We start from the raw sequence: 14215 nt of genomic DNA, 5'->3' as shown, positions 1-14215 counted from the left end.
ACTGCTATGTGAAAGCACACAACCCCTGCTGTTTGGGAAGGTGTCTCCTGGGTCCTAGCTCTCCTCAGCAGCCCCCAAAAATGATTTTTCAAAAAAGAGTCGGGGGGGGGGGTGGGAAAAGCAGCTTTGCGTTTGCCTTGAATGATGCTAATCCTGAGCGAAAACCACAAGCAAAACACGAATAGCACGAGATCTTGATTAATAGCCACAATCCACTCAAAATATCCCAGGGAAGAAGGAGCGAAAACAAGAAAGAGAAACTGCAACGCATAAATGATTCCAGTGTTTCTACAAGATCGGTTCATTTGATTGAATGCATTCTCTGGTTTGCTGCAAGTCATAAAGAGGATAGTATTACTGCCACCCAATGGATATTTTAGTACTAGCCAATCCACAGACAGCCACCGCTTTGCGAGTTTGAGTTCTCAGAAGACCGAAGTGGAAGGAAGGTAGCCTGGGAATCTTTTGGAAAGGACCCTGGGAGGCTTCAAATAACGGAAATCTGTTCTTCCAGGCAAAAGCAGACTGGCAAATTTGGATGCTTATACAGTCTTGCCTTAGCCACCTTAGAATTATGGTTCCATTTCTCTAGGAAGCAGAAAGATACAGAGAGTGATGCCTAAGCCGACACACTCTTGATAACCTCCTTTTCATCTCTTCTCTTTGAAGCAGATTTATTATTGCGCGCGACCCTCCCACCCCCATCACTGTCTCCCCAACGCCCCCATTCTCCGTATCACTTTAAGATGGATTACAAGAGAGAAGGGGTGCGGGGGCTGCTCCAAACAAACCTCAGGTGCTAAGATGATAATTGTTTCTAAAGGGCAGTTTTGCAAAAGTGCCTCTGTCTGTATTGATATGCAAACTGTGAGTCCTTCAAGCAGTAACCCTCCTCACAGCCGCGCTTTCAGTTTGGGGGAGGAGCAAAATCTTCCCTAAGTGAGTGGGGCTTGGGAGAAGGGTGCCTGTGGAAGGCTCTCTGGGAGTGCGGGGTGGGGGTGGGGAGTGGGAGGAGGAGCGGAGGGGAGGGTATTGAAGAGGATCCTCCTCCCATCCACCGCGTAATTGAGTTCCCTGCAAAAGAGTTCGCTGCTGGTTTCTGAGATGAATTTGTGATGAAGAAAGAGGGTCAAAGTAGGTACGGGTAAATACATTAGGTTATTTGCTCAATTTAAGGTCCTTGACCATTTACATTGGGATAGTATAACACTCACATGTGATTCCGTGATTCTCAAACTTTGATGTACACACCGTCACCTGGGTGTCTTGTTAAAATGCAGATTCGGATTCGGTACATCTGGAGTGAGGCCTGAGACCCTGCGTTTCTAATAAGCTCGCCCGTGGCCCATAATAATGTTGCTGGGCTGTGGACCACATTTGGAGTAGCAAGACCCTTAAAAAATGTTAATGTTTACACTGCAGCAACAGTGTCAGTTTCCGGCAGCTGAGTAGGCTGGATGATTAAAAGGCAGCGAGCCGCTTTTCTAGTTACTTCTCTCCCTCTCCCCACCCTGCAACCTTTCCCATTCAACACCGGCAGCCCATGTACTTAAAAACCTTAACCCATTTTGTAATGTATCCCACAAGCTTTTGTAATGGCAGGCTTAACCGGATAAACCAAAAATAGAATAAATAGGTAAAGTAGCCTTGGCCCTTCAGAACTGTTTTAATTTGGGGAGTAAAACACGCATCAAGATAAAGAAAACACTTTAAAAATTAGGTAAAATGTGAGCTAAACGAATACAAACTAAGCGCGCAGGTGAGAATAACAGCAGGCAGGGAGACTAGACAGGGAGGTAAAACTGTATTTCGAAAAAAGGAGCAGTACACTGAAATTTCCAACCTAAGCAGAGGGAAAATGTGGTTAAAGTCGGTAGGCAAGTCTTACAAGGTTTCTTTGAAGCTAACTCACCCATGTTCACATCTTCTGTGCCAGTGTTTTTCTTCCCTCTGCTTCTTCCCCACATGCTATAATTCAGCCTAAACTGAAGATTAGAAGTGAAGAGGAAATATATTCCCCTCCTTTCAACGTGAGTGATCTAGATTTTCTATACCTTCCATCACAGTCCTCTAGTTGACCCAGTTGAATGTGAATAGACCTCAAGCAGACCTGGAGGGGGGCACAAGTAACAAGTGTAAATGTAATTGCTTCAAGCAAAATTTAAAAGTAAACGTCTTGACCGTAGGCTCCAATCCTAGATTTGAGTCTAAATTCTACTCCTAAGTAGCCATAATTACCCAAGGGAATCACTTTAATTTCTCTTGGCCTCAGTTTCCTTGTCTATAAAATGACAGGTTGAAATTAACCAGTTGCCAACGTGCTGTCCAGCTCCATATGGTACAAAAATCACGTCCTCTCTTTGAAATGTTCTGCAAGTCAGTTTGTTACTGTACACAGAGAAGGAGTTATGATTATTACCTTGACATGGGCTGCAGAGAGCATCTAGAAGCTTTGAAAAGCATCTCGAGGACACAGGTGAACATTTGACCACTTCAATCCTATTTCAAGAGATGATTTAAAGTGCTTTCATTTCAAATGAAATGATCAGATCCAGGAAAGGAAGTGTTTGTTTGAATCTGAGGTGAAGCATTGTCTATTCCTGGATCCTACAGAGCCAACTGTGGGCCTCGCTGTTTGTTGCCATGGGATCCTCTTTGTGCGAACTATCTTGAACTGTGTGGGAACATTTTCCTCTTGCCTCCCTTCAGTTCTCTAACTCTTCTGAAGATATGTGTCAGAACAAAATGTAGCTGCATTATTGCCAATTAAGACTAACGGCAGCTGCAAGGTGCATCTAATTAAGAATTTTAATTACTTCACTGAATTCTCATTTGCAGATGTTTAGAGCATTCAACAATGTATTGTGATTTTTATTTTAAAATCTGAATAAAGCTGACCTCCCTCCAAAGGAGGGTGGAAAACTACACAACCCAATGATGGATATTTTTAAAAAAGAGTCTTTGACATGGAAAGTATATACCTTGATATATCATTTGAGAATATGCGACATTATATTGAGGATGAGGAAATAGAGTGCATATCCATAAATATGCCTTTTTTACTAAAGGAAAAGGCAAGCAAATCACAAAATACTGGAAACAAATTGATAATTTACTATTCAAGTAGAATCCTTGCATGCTACATAGTTCTCAAATATTCTGTTCTTTTTCTTTCCAGTAATATGATGGTTAACTGTAGGTTTGGCACTGCAGTATGGGGATTGTAGGCTATAATGCAAAGCATTATGGGGTTTGTAGTAAAAACTGGCTGCAGATCAATTCCATGCTTCTAGCTTTTCTCAGTTGAAGAAACTGCTGTTTTATTTTCTAGTAATAAAGAAGAATGTCAAGATACTGTACATTAGATTCATTTTAATGAAACAAGGTTGGTATTAATGGGAGTATGAAATTAAAGGTTAGCTACAGAAATATTCTGACTTGGGAGATGGAGAATATAACCCCACTTTACAAACCCCAAAATAAACTGAGTGAGCTATTTCCTAATATTACTATCCTATAGTTAAGGTTTCAAAAATCACTTTCATTGTTTTAGTAGTAAAACGTGAGAAAATATCAAATTTGGTATTTACGAAAGAGAATGATCAACACCTGAAATGAACTCAAGTTCTTATTGATTCTGTCTTTAACTATTGGTAGTTGAAATTTAATTCTTCACATTTCACGTCATTGAAGGCTATAATAATAGTTTGCTTTAGCGCAGCTTTTTGTGGATGGAGGCTTCTTTAAAGAGAGAAAGAGAGCCTACTCAGCTGCCAGCCACTCAGTGAAGTGAACAAGAGTTTTATTTAATCTACCTTTTTAGATACTTTTTATATAAAATTACTCTGAATATTCAGAGTAGCTTCTCTTTTTAATAAAATCCTTAAGGCTAGAATATCCTTAAGGTTAGGAAATATGTCTGAATTGGGTTATTTTATTCAGTTTAAATTTAATTATGGAAATGTATAAATTAAGAAGTTATAATTCAGTTCATTTTTGTGTGCAGATGATTCTATGTAGATAAATACATAATTTACAGAGGTTTTGATTTAATTCTGTTGGCAGTTTATTTCAAAGTTCACTAAACATTTTCCATATGATATGAATTCAAAGTCTAGCTCCCCACAATGCTCTATGAAATCAGCCCCCCTTTTGTTTTGAAGGCTAAAATACGTCTCTTCAAAGCCTCTTCCATCTGTGAAAGTTTCGATTATCATGCTAAGTTACTTAGAAGGTATTTTATACCTGAGGTTGCTTCTTTTTCTCTTTCTCTCCTTAAAGAAGCCTCCATCCACAAAAAGCTGCGCTAAAGCAAACTATTATTATAGCCTTGAATAAATGCAAAATCAAGTACTCTTCATTTTCAGGCCTTTTGCCAGCAATATTCATTTGAACCCACCACCACATATTCTCAAATGAGGTACAGACAAAGACTTGAGCATTTCAGCAAAATTCCACCATAAAGTTCAGGAATAATAAAGAATGCTATGAAAAAGCAAACAGCAACAGGAAAGAAAAATGCCATGCCTGCTTTTCTTTCAGATTTCTAAGTTTTGAATCATAAAAATATATAAATATATATCTTCTTGAATGCAGTTTACATTATTGTTCATACTGTGAATATTTCTTTTATGGTCATAAAAATAAAAGCAATGCCCCAAATGAAACACTGTGTACATAAGCGATGCAAATGCATCCCCGGTGGAAAGCCGGCTGGCTGCTGGTGGGAGGGTATATTTATACAGTGCCTTTCATTTGGAAGGTTCCCAAAATGATTTGCAAACTGTATATAGAGGAATGGCTCACCATGGAAATTCACCCACTTCCAGGAGAGAATGCAGAAGTCATTCCATGCTGACAGCCAGTTTAAATAAAACCGCAGAACAATATTTCAGGTGGGTGAAATATTAAAATTGTAATTGATTCAGGAAATGTGCCCTGGAAACCCACTATGTGCCAGGCATGGTTCAAAGTACTGAGGGTATCATTATGGATATATCTAGTTCAGTTTCCTGCTCTCCTAAAGCTTACATTTTATTAAAATCTAACCAGAACTTGGGAGTTACAAAGACCTATTTCCTGGTGAATTTCTGATCTCTGCATAGAGTTCTGCTGAAATAGACCACTTGCACTTTTTATATGTATTTATATCAGACTTCATGATATCCAGGACACAGAACCTGTGGCATATCTTCTACTTCAAATTGAACGCACAAAAAAATAGCTTCAGATATTGTGGTTGAAGCAGGTAAAATAATAATATTTCCTGCATTGAATGCTTTGGGGGTGGTAGGGCAGAATTCATACTCTTCTGGGTTTGGGAAAATAAATGAAACGGTATTGATGTAAATATATGGAAGATCACTTCCTCTGAAATGATTCAGGGCATTTCACGGTAATTACAGCGTATAAAATAGGTTTGATGAAGGAAGAGAACAGTGTGAGCTAATGTTTCCAAGTATAAAATATGGAATCAAATTTCAGTATCACTCAAATTACCTAGATTAATAATATTTTTCAGAGGAAAATAGATTGGGAAAAGAAGGTAAGGCAGGGGCTGTGAAAGTTCAGCCCAGACTAGCTCTGTGTACTCACAGCCATCACCCTCTTCTCTGTAGTTTGCTTCTAAAGGCCAGCACCCATACCCTCTTTAACAATTGCTCTTGGGCTACTAGCACTGTGTGTCATGCCTGTGATGAGAACAGGAAGTACCTGGAATTTGAAACCCTCTTCCACCTTACCCAAGAACTGACTGATGTGGAAGTATGAAACCCTGGCTCTTTTTACTATAGTTTGAAAAAACTCTGTGGTGCAATTTATACTCCAAGCTCTCCCTCCTGTGGAGAGCTGAGGCTGGGACTGTGCTTATAGTCACACTCTTGCTTGGTTTCTGGGAATGAAAGATAGAGGGTAACTAGAAATAATCATAGAGGTCCCACTTCTGGCTTTCAAATATTCAGCCTATGTGACTGGAGATAGTAATATTTGTTCACCTATTCATTTGTCTATCATTTATTAATTACATGCTATGTGACAGACAGTGCAGGGTGTTGAGGCTCTAGGGATGTGTAAGGCACAGTCCTTGTCTTTAAGGAGCTCATGTCTAGCAATAGAGTGACCCACAAACAGCACATGTAATACATGCTGTGGTAAGTACTCTAGGAGAGATCTGAATTCAGCCTAAAAGAATCAGGGAAGACTGAACAGAGAAGGTGTTATTTCGGTGACCTTGAGGTTTATCGATAAAGCAAGATAAAAATCACAAAAGAGTGAAGACCAGTAATAAAGAGCAACATCTAAGTAGGCCAATTTTCTTGTACCTAGAAGGAAATAACATTGGTTCTGGTAGTAGAACTCAAAAGTGTTTAAAATCATAGAATCAGTTTTTGAAGGGGGCTCTAGAGACAACCTTGAATAATCTCTTTATTTTAGACAGAGGAAATTGAGTCTCACCCAGGAAAGTGACATAGTTATTCAAGCTTACATAGCTAGGAAGTTTTAGGAGTTCTTTTCTGGCATGACTCAGCCATATCGCCTGTCAGCCTTTTATTTAAAAAGATAAGTTGAGGACATAATGGAGATATCTGATATAATATGATCTGGTTTGAATCCTATCACCATATGGCCTTGAGAAAATTCCTTACCTTTTCTGAGTCTGAATGTCCTCCTGTAAAAAAATGAAGTTAATGGGATTACCTCCTCCTGGGGATGTTGTAGTATGTATACTCCATAGAGTACCTAGAACATAGTATGTGTTTGAGAGAGGAGTGCTTTGTTTCATTTTAGCTTTTAAAATTTGTTTTCATTTCTTTTCTTTTCTGATCAGAGAATATTATAGTGGTGTAAGGAGTCATCGCCATTTTATTTTTGTTTTGTGTTTTGTTTTTATTTTTGTTATACTGGCTACAGAGTTGAAGGGAACTAGACATTCAGGATAGCTTCTTCTTTTCTTTTTTTTTTTAATAAGCTGGTAGTGTTTGGGGTTAGAATAACCTTGTCTGACTACAACTCATGGGTATTACTGACAGTTCATCTGAGGACCAGTCTAACTTTGTTCAGTACAAGCCAAGTAGGTGAATCTGCTTTGTCTAACCAGCTAGTTATAATAATAATGAACAAAATACTGAAACATATATTTACCAATTGAAGAAGTCTATTTTACTCACATTACAAAGGAGGATAGCCAAATGGCAAATGAATGCATCAAAAGGTAAGTGACTTAATTAGACATAAGGGTGATATAAATTTAAAGCATAGTGCAACATCATGACACATTCCCCAAAATGTTTAAAATGAAATCATGGGCAACGGAAAATGTGGGTGAAGAGTTGAAGCAACTGGAACTCACGTCTACTCATGGTGAAAGATAAAATTGTTTCAACAACCTTGGAAGACTTTTCAGCAGTGCCTATTAAATCTAAACATATGCATAACCTATGATGTCAGCAATCCCATTCTTAGGTATATACTCAACACAAATTCAGACATATGTTCACCAAAAACACGTATTAGAAAGTTCAGAGCAGTTTTATTCCAAAAAAGTTGCAAACTGGAAACTACCCAAATGCTCATCAGGAGTAAAATGGATGAATAAACTGTGGTATATCTAGACTGTTGGCTGCCATAAAGGAATAAGAACTAACAAGCTACAGTTATCCACAACAATATTATTGAATCTCACAAACAAAATGTTGAGCAAAATAAACCAGACACAGAAGAGTACATACTGTAAGACTGCATTTATAGAAAGGACAAAACTAACCAAATCTACACTTCAACACATAAGGATAGGAGTTATCCTTGGTGGAAGTAATGACTAGAAGGAAGCATAAAAAGAGTTTCAGGGATGCTATAATGTTCTGGTTTTTTCTGATCCTGGTGTTCGTTAATTGGGTATATTCATACTGTGAAAATTCACTGACCTGTATGCTTATAATGTATGCACTTGTGCATATATTTCATATTTTAATAACAAAGTTTTACCAAAAAGAAGTTTATTTTAGGCCGAGCGCGGTGGCTTATGTCTGTAATCCCAGCACTTTGGGAGGCCAAGGTGGGCGGATCACGAGGTCAGGAGTTCGAGACTAGCTTGGCCAACATAGTGAAACCCTGTCTCTACTAAAAATACAAAAATTAGCCAGGTGTGGTCGCACGCACCTGTAGTCCCAGCTACTCAGGAGACTGAGGCAGGAGAATCGCTTGAACCCGGGAGGTGGAGGTTGCAGTGAGCCGAGATGGCGCCATTGCACTCCAGCCTGGGTGACAGAGCAATTTCTGTCTCCAAAAAAAAAACAGAAGTTTGTTTTAATATCAGAAGAAAAACATCTAACTCCTACATTAATTATAGATTATTAAAAATAATAAAAACTAAAGTGTAGGCAGATGTTTGTGAAAGTTAAATATTGTATCATATTTGAACACAAAGGTCTTCCTGTGAAATGGATATGAAAAGGCAGGATTTGTTTATTTTAAAAAATGTTTTCAGGAAATAAATGGGGTTTTCTTTTGGAATTGTAATTAATTTAGTATAATTTAACATAGAAAAGAAACTGGATAATGAAGATAATCATGTCTTTGACTTTTTAGTGTCAATCAAAGCTTTGTTAAATTCTTTTGTGAAATGATAATAGCTAGCATTTATTCAGTACTTATTATGTGCCAGGCACCACTGGAGGCATCTTATACCTGCTAATTCATTTAATCTTCAAAATAAATCAGTACTGTTGTTATGGCCAATTTACAGATGAGGAAATCAAGGCTTGTTCAATGTCTCACAGTGGCAAACTTGGAAATTGTACCTTTTCTTAATTTCTACCCTTATCTGCCACGCTTAGCATTTGATTATTTTCTCTATGTTACATTTAGCTAAAATCATCAACTTTGTCTTTGGCTTGTATGTTGCCTTTTTGTCTTGATATTGCTAGTACATCAAGCTGTAAACTAAAGAGTCAGTAGCAATTCAGCAAAATTTCTAGTGCACTATTTTCTCCAGCAGTCTCTTAGTTTCGATTTGGGGTATCTCTTTGCTGTTTATCTTTTTCCTATAGGAGCTCTAAGTGAATTACTATGTTTCTGTTGAATGAGAGAAATGTGATGAAATTATGGCTTTCAGGGCAAAAACATTAATATTTCAACTTTTAAAACACCTAAGAATAGTATGATGAAGGATGTGTTAATGTTATGTAAATACCAGTATGGCTTTCTGAACTAATTTTTACACTGAGGAAAACAACTCTTTTAGTAAATCATACAGGAGACCAGAGAGATATCATGGATGATGTTTAATAACTAGATATCTATATTCAATTTGTGTGTGTTTATCAGATATTAGAGGAATATTATACTAGAATGTGATTATTGTATAGCAGATACTATGTACAAAAGGGAGATTATAGCATAGCAGAATAGAGGCAGTAACTTAAACCTTGAATATTGAATATCATTATGGTAAAAGTGTCTTGTGACAGAGACAATACTATGTGTTCACCAAACTTTTAAAATTTCCTTCTTTTTTTTTTTTTTTTTTTTTGAGACAGAGTCTCGCTCTGTCGCCAGGCTGGAGTGCAGTGGTGGGATCTCAGCTCACTGCAACCTCCGCCTCCCTGGTTCAAGTGATTCTCCTGCCTCAGCCTCCCCAGTAGCTGGGACTACAGGTGCGTGCCACCACGCCCAGCTAATTTTTTATTTTTAGTAGAGACTCGGTTTCACCATGTTGGCCAGGATACTCTCGATCTCTTGACCTCGTGATCTGCCCACCTTGGCCTCCCAAAGTTCTGGGATTACAGGCATGAGCCACCATGCCCGAGCATAACAATTTCCTTCTTAAGCACTCAAAACACTATGTTGCCGGGTCCTTTTACATCTAGGTGGGTCCACAGTGGATTGTGGACAGATGAGTTACATACGTCTTCTGGACCTGATTCCTAAAATCTCCAGAGAGATCTCCCCTCTGTCTTTATTCTCATGCTTATTTTCTTCTTATGTATGGCTTGAAGGAAAGGGCTTCAAGATGATGGAGTCATGTGATAGATGAACCCTAATTCCTAAGTCATTGCTAAAAGGAGAGTTATGTAGCCAGTAGCATCAGACTTGGGCTTTGTGTGACTAGGAAACAAACATTCATTATACTAAGTGACTGAGATTTCAGGTTCATTTGTTGGTACAACAGAGCTTAAATGACCCTGATTTATAACCTCTCACCTCTAACCTCTCAAAGGCAAGAAGAAAACATTTTTCTTCTATTTTTTCCTCTATTGATTTATTATTTTGTATTCAGGTGTACAAAATTGTACCGATCACTATTCTTGATTAATAGTCTTTTTCATTGGTCTATGTGCAGCCTAGTTTTATTTATGTATTTATTTAGTTTTCAAGAGGTTATGAATGCTTGAGAAAGCGCCACCCAAAACAAAAGCAAGTATCTTAATAATGATCTATATCAAACAAATGGAATGGTACCCCTGCCAACCTATACACCTGCCTTCCTTCATCTAGAGAAACCATTATCCTGAATCTCACGTGCATTTTTTGTTTGACTTCTTTTTCATATAACTTTGTTGCATCTATGATATCCCTAAAGAATATAAATATTTTACATTTCAATTTTTTTAACTTCATAAAATAGTATCGGCTCCAATTCTGGATAAAATGCAGTAAGTACACTTTATTCTTTCTTTTCCTGTTGAACACAACTTTAAAACCTGCACAGAATGTATGAAGCAACTATTTGAAAACTCTGAAAAGTAAATAGTAGTAGGTAGATCAGGACAGAACACCAGAATTTGAAGTGAATTTTGTGAATTTGTACTAAGTTGACCTTTTTATTTTCCCTTTGACATCTCCCAATCTAAAGTCAAAACAAGTGGTAAGTTGGAAATGAGCTCTGTGGCACAGAAAGAGAAAGCTCCAGGAGAGACCATCTTCCCCTGGCTCAAGGACTGGGAAAGGAAACTCCTAATGCTAAGAGAGAGTGGAGAACTCTCTCCCACCTTTCTCTTTATTTCTCCATTCTGTTGTGCCTCAGTTTCCAGGCAATCTTGTGGTGTTGGTGGAGATGGCAGCTGCAGTTACTGGAACCAGTAAGAATGAAAACTCTGAGGGAGGAGTCTTCTCTGTTCTATACAGCTTGCAGTTTCAAGAGGGTAGGACAAACTCTCTTTGTTTTCCTGGTTGATTGTCGTATTTTGTTTTGTTTTTTTTATTGCCCGTCTTCCTCCACTTGAGCCAGAACATGAATCTCATCACAGCAGTCCACAACAGAGCCTGCCAGTATCGGGGTAATTAGAGCCCCAAGTTTCTGACTAGGGAACCAAAAAGGGTGAAGGCAGAGAATTGAAACATACCAGACAGATTTCAGGGAGGAAGAACTGAGGAAATTGACCCCACAAATTTGTTTATGAACGCCAAGGCTCACCCTCAGGTGGCACATATCAGTATTTTCTTTGTCTGCAATTATATCCTGCATACTAATCGTGATACATTTTGTTGACTTTCCAATTATACTTTTGTCTCGTATTTTTATTTCTGCTATGCTTTTGATATTTGTTGACTTCTACTTTCTTTGATTTATTCTGTCAATCATACTCTATCATCTTAAGATGAATATTTAAATCATTAATTTTAAGAATTTCTTCTTTTTTAATATGAGGCTTGTGGCTGTAAATCTTCCTTAAAGCATTTTTGCCATATCTCACAGTTCCTAATATCTAGTGTTTCTTTATAATTCTGTGTTTGTCATTGTTAAATTTCACTATGATGTTTTTCTTTAACCTAAGAGTTACATAGTGTTGTGTATGTGTGTGTATGTGTGTGTGTTTTAAATTTCCATATGATCAGGGATATTTTTATTTTTTAAATTATCTTCTAGCATAATTTTATTATGGTTAGATATTGTAAGATCTCAAATTTTTGAGGATTTAATAGATTATATATGATCAACTTTTCTAAAACGTCTCACATGTGCATGAGACAATTGTATATTTCCTAATGCATGCATAATCATACCCCCCTCCCCCAATTAACAATCAAGCTTAATTGTGTTGCTTGTTAAATGTGTTGTTTTAATTTTTTTTTTCTTTTAAGACATAGTCTTAAAATGTCATCCCGGCTGGAGTGCAGTGGCGCGATCTCAGCTCACTGCAACCTCCGCCTCCCGGGTTCAAGTGATTCTTCTGCTTCAGCCTCCCAAGTAGCTGGGACTACAGGTGCATGCCACCACACCTGGCTAATTTTTGTATTTTTAGTATAGACAGGGTTTCACCATATTGGCCAGGCTGATTTTGAACTCTGCCCGCCTTGGCCTCCCAAAATGCTGGGATTACAGGCATAAGCCACTGTGCCTGGCCTGTTTTACTTATTTTTCTTCTGTGTCTTTACTGATTTGTTTATTGTGTAACCTGTAAATAACAGTGATGTGTTGAAATTTCCCACTATGATAGCACATTTATCATTATAGAAATAACAATTTTTTGCTGCATATATTTTGAGGCTATTTTACTGGTGTCTACTTGTTTAAAATTGCTATACTTCCTTGATAAATTCAATCTTTTTAAGTCATGGCTCTCTCCATCCCAAATATTTTTTGTCTTAAAGTGTATTTAATTTAATATAACATAGTTATCAATATTATTTTGATTATTGTATTCCTGATAGGTCTTGTTTTTACTATACTTTCACTTCAAACTTTCTTTTTTTTTTTTTTTTGAGACGGAGTCTGGCTCTGTTACCCAGGCTGGAGTGTAGTGGTGTGATCTCAGCTCACTGCAACCTCCGCCTCCCAGGTTCAAGGGAGTCTCCTGCCTCTGCCTCCCAAGCAGCTGGGATTACAGGCTCGTGCCACTGCACTGGGTTAATTTGGTATTTTTAGTAGAGACAGGGTTTTGCCATGTTGGCCAGGCTAGTCTCGAACTCCTGACCTCACATGATCCACCTGCCTTGGCCTCCCAAAGTGCTGGGATTACAGGCGTGAACCACCACGCCCAGCCTTACTTCAAACTTTTGCATAACCAAATTCTTAAAGTGTTTCTCACAGAAACCGTTTACATCTGGATTTGAGCTTTTATTTATACATCTGTATCTTTAAACCATTAGATTTCCTTTATTCATATTTATTGTAATTATTGATATCTTTGTTATTGTTACTACCATCTTAATTTCTTATTTCAATGTGTTCCTCTTTTTCTACATTTCTTTTTACTCCTGTCTTACTTATCTTTTAATTGAAGCTGTGTCTTACCCTGAATAAAGCAAGGACTCTCTCATCCCTTGTCTCCTCTTCCTTCCAGCACCTATCATGTTGATCTAAACAATACCCTGTTTTTTTCTTAAAATGTGGTCCAAGGAGTAGCAACATCAGCAACAACTGGGAACTTATTGATTAGAATTGCAGAACTTTGGACCCCATTTCAGATCTACTGAATCAGAATTCTCATGTAAACAAGCACTCCAGATGTTCATATGTACAATAAACTTTGAGAATCACTAAACTAGACTTTAAATTCTTGGTTGTTATTGATGTATTTTCTCTTCTCTTTTTTTGTCTTTATTATTTTTAAACCACAGTAACCAATGCTGAAGTATTTATTTGATCACCTTTACTTCATTCATCTCTTGGAACATCTCCAGATTTGTCTTTCTTTTTCTTTTAAATACTTATCCAAAAGCATTTTTAAATGTATCTTTGTGGAGCAAACTTTTAAAATATTTTATGCCTGAGAATATTTTTATCATGTCCTCACATTTGAATGACATTTTGCTGGATGTAAAATTCAAAGGTAATTTTCCTTCAGTCCTTTGAAAATGTCCATCTGGGCCAGGCGCGGTGGCTCATGCCTGTAATCCCAGCACTTTGGGAGGCCGAGGCGGGTGGATCATGAGGTCAGGAGATCGAGACCATCCTGGCTAACACGGTGAAACCCTGTCTCTACTAAAAAATACAAAAAATTAGCCGGGCGTGGTGGCGGGCGCCTGTAGTCCCAGCTGCTCAGGAGGCTGAAGCAGGAGAATGGCGTGAACCTGGGAGGCAGAGCTTGCAGTGAGCCGAGATCTCGCCACTGCACTCCAGCCTGGGCGACAGAGCGAGACTCCATTTCAAGGAAGAAAAAAAAGGAAAAGAAAAGAAAATGTCCATCTATAACCACTGTTATTGAAAAATCTGACGTCAATCTGAGTCTTCTTCCTCTCTATATCATCTGCTGTTTTGTTTTCTGGTTTTGAA

Source organism: Homo sapiens, chromosome X (assembly GCF_000001405.40).
Source record: "Homo sapiens chromosome X, GRCh38.p14 Primary Assembly".
Classification (NCBI taxonomy): Eukaryota; Metazoa; Chordata; class Mammalia; order Primates; family Hominidae; genus Homo; species Homo sapiens.
This window is presented reverse-complemented; position numbering follows the sequence as displayed.